The sequence below is a fragment of the Homo sapiens genome, chromosome 5 (genome assembly GCF_000001405.40).
Source record: "Homo sapiens chromosome 5, GRCh38.p14 Primary Assembly".
NCBI classification, from domain to species: Eukaryota; Metazoa; Chordata; class Mammalia; order Primates; family Hominidae; genus Homo; species Homo sapiens.
In genome coordinates, this window is record NC_000005.10 from 119587789 (window position 1) to 119610857 (window position 23069).

Sequence of the window (23069 nt, forward strand, 5' to 3'; positions counted from 1 at the left end):
ATGGTAAGTATTCAACAAGTGAAGAAACCCGTATAAAGTGGCTGTCTTTCTTTGAAAGTAGTGATTAAATATTCTTTTTTGGCATCTTGAAAGAATTACCTATAGTGATGTTTGCTACATGATACATATAATTCTTTTTTTAAATTGCTATTTGTTTTTTGGCTAAGTATGCTCTTTGTTGGATGAAGAAAAAATTTCCATAGGCTCAACTAAACTCCTAAAGCTGACTTGTGGAACTATCTTTAAGCTGGAGTAATTCATTAGCTAAGTGTTTCTCAGAATGGTATTTCCTGAAACAACATTCTGGGAATTAATAGGTGTAGCTAAGAAATGTTTCATTGTAAAATAAGTATGGAGACATATGTCCTTTCTCTGGAGAGTCACAACTTATGAGAACATATTAAAGAGACTGAGAAGTCTTATAGATAAAATGAAAACTTGCTTATTAACTTTGGTCAATTTACATTTCCCATTTCCTAATGAAACACCTATTAATATCCTGCAAATGCCAGTTTGGGAGACATTCTATTAAACCAATTCTTTATTTCTATCACAGATTGAAGAGATTGCTCTGGAGTTTGAGGAAGTTAAGAAATATAATACAGTTAAACATTTTCATTTTCCAGCTCTTAAAAATATTCTGAGGAAGTTAATTCTAACGCTAGACATCAGAATTTGGCAAGGATGGAATAACAAAGAAGTTGGCAAGATGTAATGCTATAAATATTAAATGAGTTTTTTCAATATAGAAGTGGAAAAAATAATTTTCCTTTCCATCCTTCTTAATTCTTGACTGGGACCCCTATAACAAGAAGACACATTAACCAGTGTTAAATCAAATTAAAATCTGGCCTTAGAAAGCCTCCATACTCTTATATGAATTCTGCTGAAAATCTATCTTAAGAGAATGCTTCTGTAACAACAGTTGAGTCTCAGCCAATCACAGCAGCCATACCTTAACTACTCAAAGGTGGCCAACTGTTCAAACTGTTTCAAATAAGGCAACCACCAAACTGTAACCAATCCAGCTGTTTTTGTACCTCACTCTTGTTTTAAGTATGTCACTTTTCTTTTTCTGTCCATAAATCTTATCACACCATGTTGCAGCCCGAGTCTCTTTGAATCTCTTCTGATTCTGAGGGCTACCCAATTTGCAAATCATTTTGTCTTTTTTCTTGCTCAATTAAACTCTGTTAAATTTAATTTGTTTAAAGCCCTTCTTTTAACAGATTTGATGTCAGAAGTGAGGATTTGAAGTAAAACACCAGTGACCCCTAGGAACACTAGGCAACCAGGCAAAGTACCCATGAAGCCAGCTGTGTTCACTATTCTCTTGTTTGTAACTGGAGATCATGAGTGAATTTTCTTTTGAATTCTGAGCTCCACTATTTTGTGATTTGAACTCTCTGAATTTATTTGAACAATATTTAGACTGGACTGGGTGCAGGATTTAATTGAATTAAATATTTAACAAGATTGGATTCTGTGAGAGGCCTAAGGGTTTGGGTAGATACCTTTTGGATAATGGGTTTATCTCAATCCAGGGAGTCTAAGACTCTACCTTCTGGTACTGCAGCTAATGTTTTCTACAAAACTTATGGGCCCAGAATGTGTGCATTTTCAGAAAAATGAGTTAATTTTACAAGAGACAACTTAGAATTGTGATGACACCAGTAACATTTCAAGTTGGATAAAATTGTTTATTGTGAGGCATATTAGAAAGAAGGAGATCAAAAACCCACACAAAACAATGGGATACAGAAGCATCTAACAGGCTAAACAAATCAAAATTGCTTCCTTCAAAGATTCTTTGCAAAAGCAAATGAAAAGCTTAAGCAACAGCTTAAGGACATGATAAAAGAGGACTGTTGTCTACTGAACTAACTTCAGCTGTTCCTTCCCTTTATCCATCTCTACCTCAATACTCTGAATCTGCTAACCTTTTTGCAACATTATCCTTTCATCCTGAAGGTGATGAAAAAAGAGGAGTTAGTAAAACCTTCTGATCAGCCAGGTTTTTCCTGCTGTAACCATTTTTACTTCATGGTCTAAAACTCATCTTAGAGACATTGTAAAGGACTTCCCTAACCCAAGGGAAAAATCCTCAATCATTTACTGAAGAATTTAGAATCCTCATAGGAGTCTATAATCCATGACTCCCTGACCTTTACTAATATATTCATACAATATTGACGTTTGGTGAAGCTTAAAAATGGATGGCAGGAGTGGGATGAGACAAATCTGAGGCATGTATTAGACTTCTCCAAAACTTCCTCATGAGAAAGGCCAAAAGGAGCTAGAAAAATTGCTGAAAACCATTTATATTTAATTCCTAAGATTTTCCCAACAAAGGTTGATTGGTTCATCATACAGTCTTGCAGACAAAAAAAAGGATGAATCATTTTCTGATTACAGAACTTACTTAGAAATGCGGTTTGTAAAATATTCTGGACTCCAAATACAGCAAGAAGTATTTCCTGCAGGGACTGAAATGATATTAATTCCTCTATTTGTAAATGGACTTCATCCTGAACTTACCTGTTTAATTAAGAAACACAAACCTGGATGGAGAGTTACAGGTATGAACTGGTGGCCTCAGCTGAACATTTTGAGAGGACTCTGGAGCAAAAAAAAAAAATATCCAAAATGCTAACAATTATGACTCGTCAATTACAACAGTTACAGGGGCTGAGGCTAAAGGGACCTTCTCATTTTTATTTTAAATCACAACAAACAGGTCCTAGAACAAGAAATTCTTTATCCTGAGATGTTTGCCTTCATTGCAAACAACAAGGACATGTGGAAAGAGGTTTCTTGGTTTTATATTAGTCTGCAATAAGCCTCCTTTCTTTAGGCTAGATCATTTTACCCCTAGAATGAGCCCAAGAGATTTTAACATTAATGATGATAATCAATATTTATTAGGCTCCAAGGATTCTCTGTTAAATTGCCCCTGACATAATACCCTTACATAAACATGGAGAAACAAGTTAAAATAAATAAGGAATCTTGTACATCCTGGTGGATACTGTAGCCACCTTATGAACCATAAACTCCACTTTATTAAGCCATCAGATCCCTTGACGCAAAAAAGTCATTTCTCTGGTGGGGGTTTCAAATCAATTCATGAGATTGTCATATATCAACTCATTCACCTTACTTTTGGGCCATTTTCAGAAAATTATACCTTTTCACCATATGATACTACTCCAATAAACTTGCTAGGGTGAGCCTCACTTTCAAAACTAAAAGAACATATATGATTCTACTCAGAGGGAGACAGAGTTTCCAGATTCTCCTGAACCAGGAGAGTTATGCTCTCTACAGGCAGAAATTGATAAGATTGAAACTCAGGTCTGTTATATACCTAACCTTTCTAAAACACCTGAATGTTATGGGCCCCTTCCTCAACTGATATAGGAAGGATTAAAAGTACGGAACCTATACAAATTCAAGTAGATCATTCTAAACCTTTGCCTAAATTACTGTAATATCCACTAAAACTTGAAGCAATTCAGGGGCCATCACCAACTGTAAAAGATTTACTTTTAAAAAGACATAATTCTGTGTACCAGTTCTTGTAATGCTCCAATTTTACCAGTTAAAAAGCCAAATGAGGCCGGGTGTGGTGGCTTATGCCTATAATCCCAGCACTCTGGGAGGCTGAGGCAGGTGGATCACCTGAGGTCAGGAGTTCAAGACCAGCCTGGCCACAGTGAAACCCCGTCTCTACTAAAAATACAAAAAGATAGCCAGGCATGGTGGTGCATGCCTGTAATCCCAGCTACTTGGGAGGCTGAGGCAGGAGAATTGCTTGAACCTGGGAGGCGGAGGTTGCAGTGAGCTGAGATCATGCTATTCCACTCCAGCCTGGGCAACATGAGTGAAACTCCATTAAAAAAAAAAAAAAAAGCCAAATGAATGAGGCTGGAGATTTGTTCAAGATTTACAGTTAATTAATACAATTATAATACCAAGGTTTCCTGTAATTGCAAATCCCAATACTTTATTATCTAATGTTCCTGCTTATTTGAAGTGGTTCACTGTAGTAGACCTCTACTCAGGAGGAGTAATGTCACAAAAGTAATGGAGTAGAAGCATTCTGGCTCCACTCTTCCCATCAAAAAACTAAATATCCAGCATCCAGATTATCACCAGCAATATCCTAGAACTCAAATATGAGGCTGAGATGATCCCCAGGGCCACAAAGAAGTGCAAAACTCCGAGCAGAGAGTAAGAGAAAGTGACGTCTCTCTCCGTGACGCCCCTCTCCCAATCTGCCAGGGATTACACATGGAAAATTCTTCTCAGACTTATGGTTTCTACTCTGGAAAAAGTGAGATTGAGGCAGACAGCCAGCTTCTGCACCATCTTGGGTACGCTTACAAGAAAACTGTTCCTGCCTCCACCCATAGGAAGCATTGCAAGTGCCTGTAGGGAGAAAAATCCCAAAGAGCAGCTAGAGACAAAATAGGGAGGTGAGTCTAGCAATCCCAGCCTGTGAATTCTGCTCTTTATCTCAGCCAAAGGAGATTTCCAATCAGAGTAGCTGTTCTGCAGCACCATGCTGTAGGAGGCACCTTCCATAGGTCTTCTGGACACAACCTCCAGCCACCTTCTTACATAGAACAGGTGTATCCCATTTGGGACCCCCTTCCCATATGGGACAGGCAGTGCTCTGAACATTTGGGAGAGCTGAGGCAAACCTAAGCTTAAGGTGCCATGTAGTCCCATAAAGGAAGCAGTGGTCTAGGATTAAGGAGACTCAATAGGAAACTGCAAAGAACCTCTAAGTAAACATACTCTAATAAACATACCCTAAGTAAATATACCCTCTAAGAGCAAAACAAACTGTACAGTGAAAACTGGAAAAAAATAACTAATCCTGCAATGTGACGCTATAGCTGTATGTCCACAAGAAACAACAGCAAACAAGGAACAATGACCTCCCAAACAGACAAAGCAAGGAGCCAGTGACTGTTCCTAATGAGATGGTGATGTGTGAGCTCTCAGATCAATAATTCAAAATAGCAATTCTAAGGAAACTCAGGGAACTCCAAGATAACACAGAAAAGCAATTCAGAAATTTATCAAAGAAATTTAAGAAAGAGATCAAAATAATAATAAAAAATCAAACAGAAATCCTGGAACCAAGAAATACATTTGCTAAACTGTAAAATACATTAGAGATTCTCAAAAACAGAATGAATCAAGCAGAATGAAGAATCAGTAACCTCAAAGACAGGCTATTTGAAAATACACAGAGGAGAAAAAAGAAAAATAATGAAAGGAATTAAGAATACTTACAAGATATAGAGAATAACCTCAAACAAAACAAAATGAAAACAAATCTAAGAGTCACTGGAATTCAAGAAAGTTGTGAAAAAGGAAGAAGTAGAAAGCTTATTCAAAAAAATGATAATAGAAACCTTTTAAGGCCTAGCGGAACATCAGGTACAGGAAGGTCAGAGACCTCTGCTCAGCCTTCCTTAGCACTTCAATCCATAAATAGAGTCAATACTTGTTTGCTTTTACTTAGAAAAACCAGCAGTACACCTTGACTGTAATGTCACAAGGGTTTACTGAAGGCCCTTTGTATTTTTCCCCAATATTGCATCAGGACTTAATACCCCTATAGTTTCTTCAAAATTCTGCTGTTACTTAGTATATAGATGATCTGTTCTTAGGCTCTCCCATTAAGAGTGCTATAAAATGGACTAAATTTACCTTTTACAGCAACTCACATATAAGGGTCACAAGGCTTCGATGAAAAAACTTCAGTTTTCAAAAGAGCAAGTCCATTATGACTTGACGGCTAAAGGGATTTCCCTCTTGCCTGAAAGAATAAAACTATTTAAAGTTTTCCTCAGCTTGTAACCAGAAGACAATTAAGAAGTTTTCTTGGACTTGCAGGATATTGCCAATTCTGTGTCTTGCATTTTTTCTGAATGGCCTCACCATTGTAAGAGCTTGATAGAAACACAGTACCAGAGCCTTTACCTTGGGAAGACAGTCATGAGCAGGCTTTTAACCAAATGAATTTTGCCTTACGACAGCCTCCAGCTTTGGGACTTCCAAATTACACTAAACCTTTTACCTTGTTTGTCCATGAATGTAACAATCAGGAATTAGGAGCTCTTATCCAAGAACGTAGAGGAAAACATAGGCCCATTGCATATTATAGCCCTCAATTAGACCTAGTAGTGAAGGTACATGCTAATTGTTTAAAAGCAGCTGCAGCCAAGTTGATAGAAGCTTCATCTGAGCTGATTTTAGGGAATAAACTTAATTTGCAAGTCCCACATACTGTGGGAAGTCCTTTACATGCCAACCAAACTCAGTATTTTTCAGAAAGTAGACCAACATCTTGTTAAATTAATCTCCTTCTAATCTCTATTTAAAATTCTGCAACATACTTAACTCTGCTATTCCATTACTCCTGTCTGATGATGGTGAAGCCTATAATTTTGTAAGGATAATATCAGAAATAGTTGCCTCTTGTGTTGATTTATGAGATACACCATTGGATAATCATAAGTTTTTGTCAATGAGCCCTGTGCCAAAAATTCAGAAGGAAAATATTGGGCAGGGTATGCCATTGCCACCCAAAATAAGTTGAGAGAGAAGGGAGCTCTTCCTCAATTTAAGTCAGCTCAGGACATGGAGCTTTTTGCCCCCACCTGAGCTTGTCATATAGCTGAGGGCAAGTCAGTAAATATTTATGCAGATGGCTGATATACCTTTGGCATAGCACACAATTTTGGTATGTTATAGAAACACCAAAGGTTTCTCATTTCTAGTGGGAACTTCATCAAAAATAGACTCCATGCGGATGAACTCCTTTCCACTATCCTGTTACCATCACAGATTGTCATTATTAAGATTGACTCTCATGCATATAAAACTGAACCTGAACATAAAACAGAATTCTCTAGTAGGTTTTTATGCTCAATCGTTTAGTGCTGGAACGGTTAGGGTATGCTTTCTGAATGAACCTCCTAAGATCGATCCAAGTCAACTTCCTTATGATGACCTATTTAGAAAACAGTATAATGCACTTGATTTGGAGAAACAAAAGTGATCTCTGAAAGGACACAAATTCATTGTTAAAAAAGGATCCAAATTCATTGTTAAGCATGGACTCACAGAGGGCCCAGATGGCCACCTGGTCCTTCCTGAGTCTTTGAAGCTTCTATTGTTAAAAGCTATGCACTTCACAACTCAACATGGAAAAGACAAAGTGATACAAGTTATGAAAAAATATTGTTGGGGTTACTGTGCTAACATTTCTAAAATGGTTCATAACCAATATTTTGGTTTGTCAAACTTATAATCCTGGGAAAACAATCAAAACTTCAGGTAGCATATTCCTACCATAAGATGGGCTATTTGAACACTTAAAGATGGATTTTATTCAGTTGCCACTCTCAGTGGGGTATTAGTATGTTCTTGTAATAGTCTGTGTGTTTCCTGGTTGGTAGAGGCTTTCCTATGTAGGAAAGCTGGTGCTGTAACAGTAACTAAGAAATTATTGGAAAATGTGTTTCCTTAAGGGGCATTCCTAGAGAAATCTCTAGCAGTAGGGGAACTCATTTTACTGGGCAATTTATAAAGCAATTAAAGAATGTATTGTGAACATAATGGCATTATCATTGTTTCTATCATCCTCAGTCTTCTGGAAAGGTTGAAAGAACAAATGGCATATTAGAACTGAAATTGGCAATGCTAACTAAGTCAATTGCATTTTCTTGGCCTAAGACACTGCTGTTGGCTTTAATGGTAATCAGATTCACTCTGACTAGAAATCGTAAGTTGAGCTCTTAGGAAACAGTCACTGGAAAACCTATGTCCCTAATAATAAAAGCTCACACATTCCTTGCTCTCTTAAACTCTGATATGATTAAATGCTGCAAGGCTTTAAGCATTATGCCAAAGTGTATTTTCACCAGGTAAAAAAAGCTTTACATGATCCACCATCTGAGGTCAATCAAATACTTCGTGGTCTAGAACTTGGAGATTGGGTGTTTTGGAAATAACATCAGAGTAAGACTGCCCCTGACCCCTATTGGAAGGGACCATATCAAGTTTTTCTCACCACTGACACTGCAATGAAGGCCTTAAATCCTAGGTCCACGTTGCAATTCAAAAGAGCCCTTTCAGATTCTTGGAACAGTACTCCTGTTGGGACTTTAAGGTAAAGCTGACCATGGAAATTTCTCCCTAGAAGTAAATGGCATCTTAAATGTTAACAGCTTTCTCAAATTCACAGATCAAGACTTCTGTACCATCATGAAAACGTTATGCTTTTGTCTTTTTCCCTCATTTTCTGCTGCCCTGATGCTTTTTTCCTACAGGAAGATTCATGAGGCCATAATCAGTGGATGGCTGTAGCTCAAGCTTGTATTCTAGCATAAAACTAGAACAATTGCTGGGTTTGTGGGCTAATGCCAAAAAATCAGGAAACAGTCCCACTGATGCCAATGCCTCTCTGCATTCTCAATGACAATCACTGTGAGATGCCAGAAGAAGAGTGGAAAGCTATCTTTGGTGTTCTAAATATCACTGCTACTTGCTTTCCAGTACTCACTAGAAACAACATTCTATCTTTTATATTTAATAACCTGATCATTACCAAATATAGGAAACCTATCCAAGTAATGTCTGCAAAATGTATTTTGTGCTTCCTGGCATCACACACTCAAGGCCTGGGAATTATCCGTGTGGGTACAAGTAATCGCTCATAGAAAGTCACTAGATTAAATCCAGTAGGTCCCCCTGCCCCATCCCCCTGTTTTTTTTTTTTTTTTGTAACTAAATATGGTTATACATCCTTACAACGTTTTATGAAAGGGCCACAAAAAAGTAAATTTTCCACTGGACTTTGTTCAGGAGCTAGGCAGAACAAGGGTGAAAAATTTAACTAACCCTTGCTCAAATACAACTAGATGGCCCTCTTTTCCAATCCCTTAGGGACTATATTTGGTCTGCACAGAATTTCATTCTACCTCCTTGCTGGTTTGGATCTTGCTATTTGGTCTGGCTCACTCCTGCCTTTTAAATAGCTTCTCGTGAGAGTTCCTGTAATAGCTCCTATGATCAGAAACCAAAGCAGTCAATAACTGAAATTAGCACCAATCTTGAAATAGATGAAAGATAAATTAGATTCTACTGAGGAGACATTCCATCGTGGTTCCTGGGGACTCACTCTTGGTGGTAGTGGGTACTAGTTGTATGGAATTTAAAGCTAATTCATAAATTGAGAGAAATCTTGAAGTTTATAGCCAATCAGACTTCCCACGGTTTGAGGTGCGTAGGAGCCACTCTCTGAAAGGTAAATGATACCATAAGTGTTCAACAAAAACACATCATGCAGCTTTATGTTTCCTTTTAGCTCAAGTTGAGGCCTTATGTTTGCTATTGAACAAAACCGAATGTTGGACCTATCTTTCCCCTAATTTTATTACTACAGAAGGCTTAATTAAAAATCTGGTAGATACTATTCTTTCCTTAGACACTGCCACCAAATAAATTAAGGAAATCTTTCAAGAGAAAGGAACATAGAATGTGTTCGTGGGAACAACTAACAGTTGGTTTGCAGATATCCTAAATGGTGGATAGCAACCTGGTGTTTTCCAAAGTTTTCTTATCTTTATATTTCTTCTGGTAGGTCTCCAGGTTATTATAACTTGTGTGACCAGGATAACAACAAAAATGGGTACCTCTTTAAATCAGAACATTTTACAGTGAATGATGGTCCTTAATTACCATGGCACCCTGAACAAAGACTATGACCAATTAGACTCAAATACTGTTGAACTGCCTATATTGCTGAACTTTGACTTGTTTGATTTGACTTGGTTAATTTCATAAGAAATCTGTTTAAGAAGTACACTTTGGTTTTTTGATATTACACTCTTGATAGTAATTTTAATAGTCCCCCTGGTAACACTGTATCCTCTCAAGTCTTAAATGTTTTGTATTTAGCCATCCATTGAGTATTGAATGGTCTTATGATTTTACTTTGACTAGATCAGCAAGAACATAAAGAATTATTCAACTGGTGTGACACTGTGACGTGTGAATTCCACAATGAGACCAAAGAAGATGTGTGAATTTCATACTGAGACCAAATAAGTTATTTATGATGGTGACAGAGAGTGGCACCAATGTCCGAAGTTTTGGTTAATATCTAAAGTTGAGAGGCTGACCAAAAGGAGGGAAATTGTTAAATCAAACCAAAGTCTGGCTTGAGAAAGCCTCCATATTTGCATACTTGAGTTCTTATGTATGAATCACAACCTAACCTAGCACATATACAAACTGAAAACCTCACTTAGGAGAATGTGTCTGTAATAGTAGCTGACTTTCAGCCAATCATGACAGTCATACTTCAGCCACTCACAGTCAGTCAGTGATTTAAATGGTGTTCAAATAAGGCAAACACCAAGCTGCAACCAATCCAGCTGTTTCTGAACCTCACTTCTGTTTTCTGCATGTCACTTTCCTTTTTCTCTTCATAAATCTTATCCCACCATGTGGCAGCCCCAGTGGCCGCCTGATTCACAAGTCGTTTTTGTATTTTTTCTTGCTCACTTAAACTCTGTTAAATTTAATTTGTCTAAAGTTTTTCTTTTAATACAAGAGAAAAACAAACAGAGGTTTACTAACATGTATATTTCATATATACCTGAGAGAAAACTCAGGGAAAGACTAACTCTTAAAGAGGTAGCTTAGAATGGTGGCTTATGCGGTGTCTTCAACAAAGAACAAAACATTTTTAGAGAACTGGCAACATAAAGCAGAAGGACCTTGACTCTCTAGGGGCAGAAAATTGTGAGGTGGGAAATATGTGGGAAACTGATGGTAGATAGAGGCTAGTCAGTAATTTTTTTTGTTTGTTTTTGAGATGGAGTTTTGGTCTTGCTGCCCAGGCTAGAGTTCAATGGCGCAATCTTGGCTCACTGCAACCTCCACCTCCCCGGTTCAAGGGATTCTCCTGCCTCAGCCTCCCAAGTAGCTGGGATTACAGGCACCCACCACCACACCAGACTAATTTTGTATTTTTAAAAGAGATGGGGTTTCTCCATGTTGGTCAGGCTGGTCTCGAACTGCCAACCCCAGGTGATCTGCTCACTTTGGCCTCCCAAAGTGCTGGGATTACAGGCATGAGCCACCATGCCTAGCCCCTTGTCAGTAAATTTTTTAACATGGATTCCTTTGGTGCCATCTCTAGGCTGATAAAGATCACCTCTGGTGATCAAACTTTGTTATACCTGGTAGAAATGCGGAGGAAGGGACACCTTTGTTTCCTTAATGCCTTGCTTTTAGGCAATTAGGAAGAGGGCAGATATTTTGTTTTTGTATCTGTTTCTTCTCAATTGCTTTCCACTCAAAATAATCCCTACATCAAAGTGGTATATTTTGGGGAGGCAGACTCTGCTGTCCTTTAACGTTAGGCACAGATCATTTTTGGAAAAGACCAAGAAGTATATGTTCTGAATTCTAATAAAAATGGAAGAAAATACAATTATTAAAAATCACCGGGAGCCAAGATGGCTGAATAGGAACAGCTCCAGTCTACAGCTCCCAGCGTGAGTGACGCAGAAGATGAGTGATTTCTGCATTTCCAACTGAGGTACCAGATTCATCTCACTGGGGAGTGTCGGAAAGTGGGTGCAGGACAGTGGGTGCAGTGCATCGAGCGTGAGCCGAAGCAGGGCGAAGCATCGCCTCACTCGGGAAGTGCAAGGTGTCAGGGAATTCCCTTTCCTAGTCAAAGAAAGGAGTGACAGATGGCATCTGGAAAATTGGGTCACTCCCACCCTAATACTGCACTTTTCCAATGGTCTTAGCAAACGGCACACCAGAAGATTATATCCTGAGCATGGCTCGGAGGGTCCTATGCCCACGGAGTCTTGCTGATTGCTAGCACAGCAGTCTGAGATCAAACTGCAAGGTGGCAGCGAGGCTGGGGGAGGGGTGCCCACCATTGCTGAGGCTTGAGTAGGTAAACAACGTAGCCGGGAAGCTCGAACTGGGTGGAGCCCACCGCAGCTCAAGGAGGCCTGCCTGCCTCTGTAGACTCCACCTCTGGGGGCAGGGCATAGCCAAACAAAAGGCAGCAGAAACCTCTGCAGACTTAAATGTCCCTGTCTGACAGCTTTGAAGAGAGTAGTGATTCTCCCAGCATGCAGCTGGAGATCTGAGAATGGAGAGATTGCCTCCTCAAGTGGGTCCCAGACCCCCGAGTAGCCTAACTGGGAGGTACACCCCAGTAGGGGCAGACTGACACCTCACACAGCCGGGTACTCCTCTGAGACAAAACTTCCAGAGGAACGATCAGGCAGCAACATTTGCTGTTCACCAATATCCGCTGTTCTGCAGCCTCCACTGCTGATACCCAGGCAAACAGGGTCTGGAGTGGACCTCCAGCAAACTCCAACAGACCTGCAGCTGAGGGTCCTGACTATTAGAAAGAAAACTAACAAACAGAAAGGACATCCACCCCAAAATCCCATCTGTACATCACCATCATCAAAGACCAAAGGTAGGTAAAACCACAAAGATGGGGAAAAAAACAGAGCAGAAAAACTGGAAACTCTAAAAATCAGAGTGCCTCTCCTCCTCCAAAGGAATGCAGCTCCTCACCAGCAATGGAACAAAGCTGGATGGAGAAAGACTTTGATGAGTTGAGAGAAGAAGGCTTCAGATGATCAAACTATTCTGAGCTAAAGGAGGAAGTTTCAACCCATGGCAAAGAAGTTAAAAACCTTGAAAAAAAATTAGACGAATGGCTAACTAGAATAACCAATGCAGAGAAGTCCTCAAAGGACCTGATGGAGCTGAAAACCATGGCACGAGAACTACGTGATGAATGCACAAGCCTCAGTAGCCGATTCAATCAACTGGAAGAAAGGGTATCAGTGATGGAAGATCAAATGAATGAAATAAAGCAATAAGAGAAGTTTAGAGAAAAAAGAATAAAAAGAAACGAACAAAGCCTCCAAGAAATATGGGACTATGTGAAAAGACCAAATCTACGTCTGATTGGTGTACCTGAAAGTGATGGGGAGAATGGAACCAAGTTGGAAAACACTTTTTGGGATATTTTCCAGGAGAACTTCCCCAATCTAGAAAGGCAGGCCAACATTCAGATTCAGGAAATACAGAGAACACCACAAAGATACTCCTCGAGAAGAGCAACTCCAAGACACATAATTGTCAGATTCACCAAAGTTGAAATGAAGGAAAAAATGTTAAGGGCAGCCAGAGAGAAAGGTTGGGTTACCCACAAAGGGAAGCCCATCAGACTAACAGCTGATCTCTCGGCAGAAACTCTACAAGCCAGAAGACAGTTGGGGACAATATTCAACATTCTTAAAGAAAAGAATTTTCAACCCAGAATTTCATATCCAGCCAAACTAAGCTTCATAAGTGAAGGAGAAAAAAAATCCTTTACAGACGAGCAAATGCTGAGATTTTGTCACCACCAGGACTGCCCTAAAAGAGCTCCTGAAGGAAGCACTAAACATGGAAAGGAACAACCAGTAGCAGCCAATGCAAAAACATGCCAAATTGTAAAGACCATCGAGGCTAGGAAGAAACTGCATCAACTAATGAGCAAAATAACCAGCTAACATCATAATGACAGGATCAAATTCACACATAACAATATTAACCTTAAATGTAAATGGACTAAATGCTCCAATTAAAAGACACAGACTGGCAAATTGGATAAAGAGTCAAGACCCATCAGTGTGCTGTATTCAGGAAACCCATCTCACGTGCAGAGACACACATAGGCTCAAAATAAAGGGATGGAGGAAGATCTACCAAGCCAATGGAAAACAAAAAAAGGCAGGGGTTGCAATCCTAGTCTCTGATAAAACAGCCTTTAAACCAACAAAGATCAAAAGAGACAAAGAAGGCCATTACATAATGGTAAAGGGATCAATTCAACAAGAAGAGCTAACTATCCTAAATATATATGCACCCAATACAGGAGCACCCAGATTCATAAAGCAAGTCCTTAGAGACCTAGAAAGAGACTTAGACTCCCACACAATAATAATGGGAGACTTTAACACCCCACTGTCAACATTAGACAGATCGACGAAACAGAAAGTTAACAAGGATATCCAGGAATTGAATTTAGCTCTGCACCAAGTGGACTTAATAGACATCTGTGGAACTCTCCATCCCAAATCAACAGAATATACATTCTTTTCAGCACCACACCTATTCCAAAACTGACCACATAGTTGGAAGTAAAGCTCTCCTCAGCAAATGTAAAAGAAGAGAAATTATAACAAACTATCTCTCAGACCACAGTGCAATCAAACTAGAACTCAGGATTAAGAAACTCACTCAAAACCGCTCAACTACATGGAAACTGAACAACCTGCTCCTGAATGACTACTGGGTACATAACGAAATGAAGGCAGAAATAAAGATGTTCTTTGAAACCAAGGAGAACAGAGACACAACATACCAGAATCTCTGGGACACCTTCAAAGCAGTGTGTAGAGGGAAATTTATAGCACTAAATGCCCACAAGAGAAAGCAGGAAAGATCTAAAATTGACACCCTAACATCACAATTAAAAGAACTTGAAAAGCAAGAGCAAACACATTCAAAAGCTAGCAGAAGGTAAGAAATAAGTAAGATCAGAGCAGAACTGATGGAAATAGAGACACAAAAAACCCTTCAAAAAATCAACGAATCCAGGAGCTGGTTTTTTGAAAAGATCAACAAAATTGATAGACTGCTAGCAAGACGAATAAAGAAGAAAAGAGAGAAGAATCCAATAGATGCAATAAAAAGTGATAAAGGAGATATCACCACTGATCCCACAGAAATACAAACTACCATCAGAGAATACTATAAATGCCTCTCCGCAAATAAACTAGAAAATCTAGAGGAAATGGATAAATTCCTTGACACATACACCCTCCCAAGACTAAACCAGGAAGAATTTGAATCTCTGTATAGACCAATAACAGGCTCTGAAATTGAGGCAATAATTAATGGCTTACCCACCAAAAAAAGTCCAGGACCAGATGGATTCACAGCCGAATTCTACCATAGGTACAGGAGCAGATGGTACCATTCCTTCTGAAACTATTCCAAGCAATAGAAAAAGAGGGAATCCTCCCTAACTCATTTTATGAGGCCAGCAACATCCTGATACCAAAGCCGGGCAGAGACACAACAAAAAAAGATAATTTTAGACCAATATTCCTGATGAACATTGATGCAAAAATCCTCAGTAAAATACAGGCAAACCGAATCCAGCAGCACATCGAAAAGCTTATCCACCGTGATCAAATGGGCTTCATCCCTCGGATGCAAGGCTGGTTCAATGTATGCAAATCAATAAACGTAATCCAGCATATAAACAGAACCAACTACAAAAAACACGATTATCTCAATAGTTGCAGAAAAGGCCTTTGACAAAATTCAACAACGCTTCATGCTAAAAACTCTCAATAAATTAGGTATTGGTGGGACATATCTCAAAATAATAAGCGCTATCTATGACAAACCCACAGCCAGTATCATACTGAATGGACAAAAACTGGAAGTATTCCCTTTGAAAACTGGCACAAGACAGGGATGCCCTCTCTCACCACTCCTATTCAACATAGGGTTGGAAGTTCTGGCCAGGGCAATCAGGCAGGAGAAGGAAATAAAGGGTATTCAATTAGGAAAAGAGGAAGTCAAATTGTCCCTGTTTGCAGATGACATGATTGTATATCTAGAAAACCCCATCATCTCAGCCCAAAATCTCCTTAAGCTGATAGGCAACTTCAGCAAAGTCTCAGGATACAAAATCAATGTGCAAAAATGACAAGCATTCTTATACACCAATAACAGACAAACAGAGAGCCAAATCATGAGTGAACTCCCATTCACAATTGCTTCAAAGAGAATAAAATACCTAAGAATCCAACTTACAAGGGACGTGAAGGACCTCTTCAAGGAGAACTACAAACCATTGCTCAATGAAATAAAAGAGGATACAAACAAATGGAAGAATATTCCATGCTCATGGGTAGGAAGAATCAATATTGTGAAAATGGCCATACTGCCCAAGGTAGATTATAGATTCAATGCCATCCCCATCAAGCTACAAATGACTTTCTTCACAGAATTGGAAAAAACTACTTTAAAGTTCATATGGAACCAAAAAAGAGTCCACATCGCCAAGTCAATCCTAAGCCAAAAGAACAAAGCTGGAGGCATCACGCTACCTGACTTCAAACTATACTACAAGCCTACAGTAACCAAAACAGCATGGTACTGGTACCAAAACAGAGATATAGACCAATGGAACAGAACAGAGCCCTCAGAAATAATGCCACATATCTACAACTATCTGAACTTTGACAAACCTGACAAAAACAAGCAATGGGGAAGGATTCCCTATTTAATAAATGGTGCTGGGAAAACTGGCTAGCCATATGTAGAAAGCTGAAACTGGATCCCTTCCTTACACCTTATACAAAAATTAATTCAAGATGGATTAAAGACTTAAATGTTAGACCTAAAACCATAAAAACCCTAGAAGAAAACCTAGGCAATACATTCAGGACATAGGCATGGGAAGGACTTCATGTCTAAAACACCAAAAGCCATGGCAACAAAAGCCAAAATTGACAAATGGGATCTAATTAAACTAAAGAGCTTCTGCACAGCAAAAGAAACTACCATCAGAGTGAAGAGGCAACCTACAAAATGGGAGAAAATTTTTGCAATCTACTCATCTGATAAACGGCTAATATCCAGAATCTACAATGAACTCAACCAAATTTACAGGAAAAAGACAAACAACCCCATCAAAAAGTGGGCAAAGGATATGAACAGACACTTCTCAAAAGAAGACATTTATGCAGCCAAAAGACACATGAAAAAATGCTCATCACTGGCCATCAGAGAAATGCAAATCAAAACCACAATGAGATACCATCTCACACCGGTTAGAATGGCGATCATTAAAAAGTCAGGAAACAACAGGTGCTGGAGAGGATGTGGAGAAATAGGAACACTTTTACACTGTTGGTGGGACTGTAAACTAGTTCAACCATTGTGGAAGTCAGTGTGGCTATTCCTCAGGGATCTAGAACTAGAAATGCCATTTGACCCAGCCATCCCATTACTGGGTATATACTCAAAGGATTATAAATCATGCTGCTATAAAGACACATGCACATGTATATTTATTGTGGAACTATTCACAATAGCAAAGACTTGGAGCCAACCCAAATGTCCAACAATGATAGACTGGATTAAGAAAATGTGGCACATATACACCATGGAATACTATGCAGCCATAAAAAATGATGAGTTCATATCCTTTGTAGGGACATGGATGAAATTGGAAACCATCATTCTCAGTAAACTATCGCAAGAACAAAAAACCAAACACCGCATGTTCTCACTCATAGGTGGGAATTGAACAATGAGATCACATGGACACAGGAAGGGGAATATCACACTCTGGGGACTGTGGTGGGGTCGGGGGAGGGGGGAGGGATAGCATTGGGAGATATACCTAATGCTAGATGACACATTAGTGGGTGCAGCGCACCAGCATGGCACATGTATACATATGTAACTAACCTGCACAATGTGCACATGTACCCTAAAACTTAGAGTATAATAAAAAAAAAAAAAAAAAAAAAAAAAAAGAAAATGTGGCACATATACACCATGGAATACTATGCAGCCATAAAAAATGATGAGTTCATGTCCTTTGTAGGGACATGGATGAAGCTGGAAACCATCATTCTCAGTAAATTATCACAAGGACAAAAAACCAAACACCGCATGTTCTCACTCGTAGATAGGAATTGAATAATTAGAACACATGGACACAGGAAGGGGAACATCACACACCGGGGCCTGTTGTGGGGTGGGGGCAGGGGGGCTGATAGCATTAGGAGATATGCCTAATGTTAAATGACGAGTTAATGGGTGCAGCACACCAACACGGCACATGTATACATATGTAACAAACCTACACGTTGTGCTCATGTACCCTAAAACTTAAAGTATAATAAAAAACAATCACCTAGAATGTATTTCACATTTTTAATTCTTTCTCAGGGATATTATAAAAATGCAGTTGTTCCATTTTTGAAAAATAATATTTCCTGCTGTTGTTAAAAGGGAGTAATGTTGGCAGTAATCACATCAGTGTTATTTTTCATCAAATGTGAGTACTCTCAGACTAGTTATTAGCAAAGTCAAGCTGATATTCCAGGAACCAATGAAGTAGATACTTCTGGAAATGCAGACTAAAGATAGCTGGAGGAGTTGGTCTTCCGCCTTTCTGGAATACCCACTCCTCTAGCCCTACCATACTGTCCTCCCTATCTGTGTGGCTTGCAATATTGCTCAAAGCTTAACTTTTATTACAGATACCTCCTCTGCCATGATGCCTTTTCTGATCTTCCCCAGCGGCCTGTTACTTCTCTGTCTCTAGATTCATAGCTCTAGAGAGTTATGTATTTGTCTTATGGCATTTACATTCTGCCTTGGTTATGGTATTTGTGTTCTTGTCAAGACTCCCTCTTGCAAGCTACGTCCCATCCTAAAATCCTTATTTGTCCTGTTGTACTTAGCCAACATGAAGTTGGCATCTAATATTTGTGATATTGAATCAAATAGGGGGAAAAATCCCAAACCTAATTGGTTTATTTAAATACTCTCATATAGAGGACAATTTGTAGAAACAAAATGGGCATCTGAGGACAGTCCCCTGAGTGTTTTGTGTTGTGTTGGTGTTAGCATTAATGGTCTCTCCAGGACACCACTTTATACCCAAGGAAGAATTTAAAATATGTCATTCCATCATTGGGTTTTTATGAGGCAATGCTAATTTAACTAGCAAAATACTTTCCACTATTTTGATTGCATGAACTGCTTTTTTAGTGTATTATTTTGGGGTGTGTAAATTTTTGGCAACTGTCTGGATTAAGCAAACAAAAACTAAGAATGCTATGAAATAAGACCACTTATAAGGCTCATTACATTTTGACTTTGAGCAACTATCTAATTACCTTAAGTTCAAAGCTAATTACGGAATTCCATGTAATAATGCTTTACATTTGTCTAGTGCTCAGATGTTTACAAAGTGCGTTCATCTGCAGAATTCATTCAACCAATCAACTAGTCAATTAGCAAATTAATCTTTTAACCGAAATTCCTTTAAAACCATTACATAATGAATATCAACAAGCTTGATTTGGGGATTCCTAAAATAAATAAGGGAAAGGTCTTGTTCTCCAAAGGCTTTCAGTTGAGTGAGGGGAGACAGAAATATAAACAAGTAAGTGGACTAAAATGTTGTGATTGAAGTCTGTATACACCACAGTGGGGTCACAAGGCAGGCAGTGGGGGCTGTTCTTATTAGAAACATATAGAGTGAAGTCCTATTTGATTCTTACTAATGTTACTGTTGTCCGCAGTTGGCAGTTGAGGGATCCAACTCAGAGAAGTAAAGCATTTTTTTTCTGAGGTGACCCTACTCTTAAGATTGCTGAAGTGAATTGTCCCACCCTACAGCATCTCTTCTCTACCCACACAGTTGCTACGATGTAAATCCTCATGTTCCAGCTGATATGAGAAAGAGAAGAAGGTAATACCAGTGAGCCTGAAATGGGGGATTATGTTTATTCAGAAAGAGCCTGTTTCCCAGAGTAACAAGAAAAACGACTTGATTGAAAATGTTACTCATCCAGAAAAGAAGCGAGAAAGGCAGACCCAAAGGCAGGGTTTTGAGCTGGAAACAGTGGCTTTGCTAAGATTTACAGGCCTGTGGGATTTCACAGTTGCATAAAGTATTAAGGAAAGTTATTTGAAAAATATTCAAATTACTTTGACATCATTTACCCCTAGGTAATATAGAAACTCATATTTTGGAGATTGGGCTTCTATTAACACAAACTTTTGAAAGGAATGGGGTTTATAAGGATGACCTATTTCTCCTGCTATCACCATCCCCAGACTCCAATTTAATTTTGTTTTTATTCTGGCCACTAAAAGCCACTAGTTTTTTCATGGGAAAGATGCTTCTCTTTAGTCATACATTTACCGTATGGTGCCAGATTTCACTAAGTTGGTGGCGTATTGATTTGCAAAGTTCCTTAAGAAGACATCCATGTGCATTTAAGATAACAATGGCAAAAGCAGCTTTGTATTGGTACATATTTTCTTTGTTCTCCAAAAGAACTCCTAGCATTGGATGTTAGAATGCAGCATTGCTTAAAGATGCCTAATATGAGCTAAAATTGCCCAGAAACTGTGATGGGAGGGGATTGGTCTTTATTTTCTTTCCCTCTGAATTTCATGTAATTACATGAGAATTGTGAGCTGGAGTGCTAAATTTTATAAATTACTAAATTTTAATACCAACAGTTAGGGAAGCAGGTATCTTAACTCACCTGAAAACAAGTTTCTATTTCTCCAATGGACTAAGCAGCTCCTTATTTTTCATGATCCCTTATAGGTTAATAAAGCTTTCAGATGATCTCCTCTGACTCTCAAGAACTCCTAGGGGAAGCATAGGACATATTATCTGCAAAAAATGTGTTTACACTAATGAAGAAACTGAAGCCCAGACTGAGGCTCTAGATAACAATGAGTTTTTTGTTATCCTCTGAACGAGTGCTGCTTAATTCTCCATATTATATTGCTTCTTTATAGAGAAATGCTCTCATGGTCATAGATGGTCCCTAACCCTGACCTATTCTTTTTCAAACACATGTGATTAGTTTCAAGGGAACCTGAATGACAAAATGGATAATTCAGTACCAGCCCATCATACTTACAAGAAAAGTAACAGAAATCATATAACCCGGTGGTACAATAGTTTGAATTACTTTAATATATAAAGAGCAGCAGCTAATTAAATTCAAAGCATCAAAAATTGTATATCTTTGACAGAGAACACCTGCATCAGAAGAGTTAGTTTGTATGAGCACAGCTCAGTAGGGATCCTCATTATAACACTGTATGCAGTTTAAATTGTAGGAAAAGGAAAGGAGGTGATATTACGAATATAAGCTCATTTTCTCAGGCTGCATGAACTTGGAGTTTTAAAAGGGGTCATATAAATGGTAATAACCCATATTTTTTGGCTTTTGATCCTTCTGGCTATTACAAACCTCTATGTCCTTTCTACCCACCCCCAGTGGAGTCCCCAGGGGTGGTGTGTCTGTGCTGGCTAGTTCTATCAACCACCCGTGAATTTCTGATGTTATTTCCCCCCCGCCCTGCTTCTGGCCTCATGTTGATAGGCGCGCTGCCTTCGGAGGGGTGATAGCCTTTGCTCTCAGTCAGTACCCTCTCCTGGTACCATTTTTGCCTATGCCTCTGATTTCTTTCTTGGAGTTCTTGATGTAAGCTGGGTGGAAGTGGGATAATGCCTTCTTCTCCCTTTGGGGATACACGCGGATCTCAAAGCAAGGTTTTTAGTATATATATATATATTTATTTTTAGATGTACAGCCTTCTCTCTTTTTAGTACTGAGATCTGAGGCCATGAGGGCAGGTATGGTATGGACAAAGCTGGAAAAAAGCTTAAATGCTGTGTTAAGACCATCACCTGGTCCTCCGTTTGGCTCCTCATGAAAACAGACTTTAGCTTTACTTGTTCCATTAGTTTGCCAGAGCGGCTCAGAATCCCAGCACTAAATAGAACCTAGACTCAAGCTTGGGCGTCCAAAAATGTCAGTATTTTGTGCTCAACCCAGGGCTGACTTTTTTCCCCTTCTATTTTCTGTTCTCTTTCTTGTATTCTTGACTTCTGATTCTTTGGTTAATTGAATTTCTTTTATCCTTGGTTTGTGAAAGCTGCTTTGAAAGCCAAAACTCCTTAGGTCAGGTCTATCTCACTGACAAAAGGGAAGGAATGAAGGAAAACCCACTGAAGCAGTTATGTATTTCCAATTAGAAGAGGGACATTCTATTTCCTTCTAGTGGTGAGTGACATCAAATCAGCTAAAAAAGGATATCATTACCTAGGGATAAGAAATAAGAACTCTGAAACTCAGTGATGTTGTACATATACAACAAAACAAATCTAAACTTGGATTAAAAAGCAGTGTTTAAAATTAACCCAGGGAGGCAGAGCTTGCTGAATTTGCATTTGTGGGTGGCAAGTATCTAGAGGCCCTGTTCTTGTTTTACTGTCTGGAGAGAGGTGAATGTCCCCTTTCTGAATTGGAACTGCTAAGAAAATTGCTGAGGAGCCACCCTCTCCCTTTATATTCCTGGCATCTCTTCAAGCTACCTCAAGCTCACGAAAATCGCAGAGGATCAGATGCCATCTGACAGTTTGCAAATTATTTGTTGGAAGGTGTTTCTCAACCAAGTAATACTTTTACTTTTATTTTTATTTTGTTTTCAGGTCAGACAGGTAATGTGTCAATGTCATAACAAAGTTCAAGGGTGGCACATCTCTCACACGTGCTTGAACACCCAGTCATCATGCTCATGAGCTACAAGAGGATCACTCAACCAAATAACACTTTTAGAAGGCAGAACAATGCAGTAATCTGGGTGCAGGAGGCCTGGAATTTCTCTTTTTTATTAACTGTGCCACCTCTTCAGGGTTAACTCCCTTCTCTACCTCCCTTGGTCTTTTCTTTTGTAAACAGGCTTCATCTACATGATCCCACCTTCTCCAAAATGCAGAGTCTACAATTGTGGAATAGGCCTTCCTACCCAGTGAGTTTCTTCAGACCCCAGTGGAAAGTTTCTAGTTGTGAGGGGAGATGTTTTCTCTTACATTTATAGAGCACCTCCTAGGTATCAGGTATTGTGCAAGGCACACTTTACGTGTGTCACTTAGTAGTGATGGCGATGATGATGATGATGATGATGATGACAAACACACTGCACATATTCTGTGCTAGACACTGTTCTAATCAGTTTACATATATTACCTGTCTAAATCCTCATCACAAACTCTATGGAGTTGGTACTATTATGATCTTCATTTTGCAAATGAAGAAATAAACAGATAAACAAAAGAGAGCCCAAGGTCCTAGAGCTGGCCTCAG

General features: G+C 39.0%; 1 non-coding gene across 1 annotated transcript; it reads right to left on the bottom strand.

Annotated features, from left to right (window-relative positions):
* Positions 1–22413: 22413 nt before the first annotated feature.
* LOC124901198 (small nucleolar RNA U13) lies at positions 22414–22517 on the bottom strand. Its single transcript, XR_007059162.1, has one exon. It is a non-coding gene; the product is annotated as a small nucleolar RNA U13 (small nucleolar RNA).
* Positions 22518–23069: the final 552 nt, after the last annotated feature.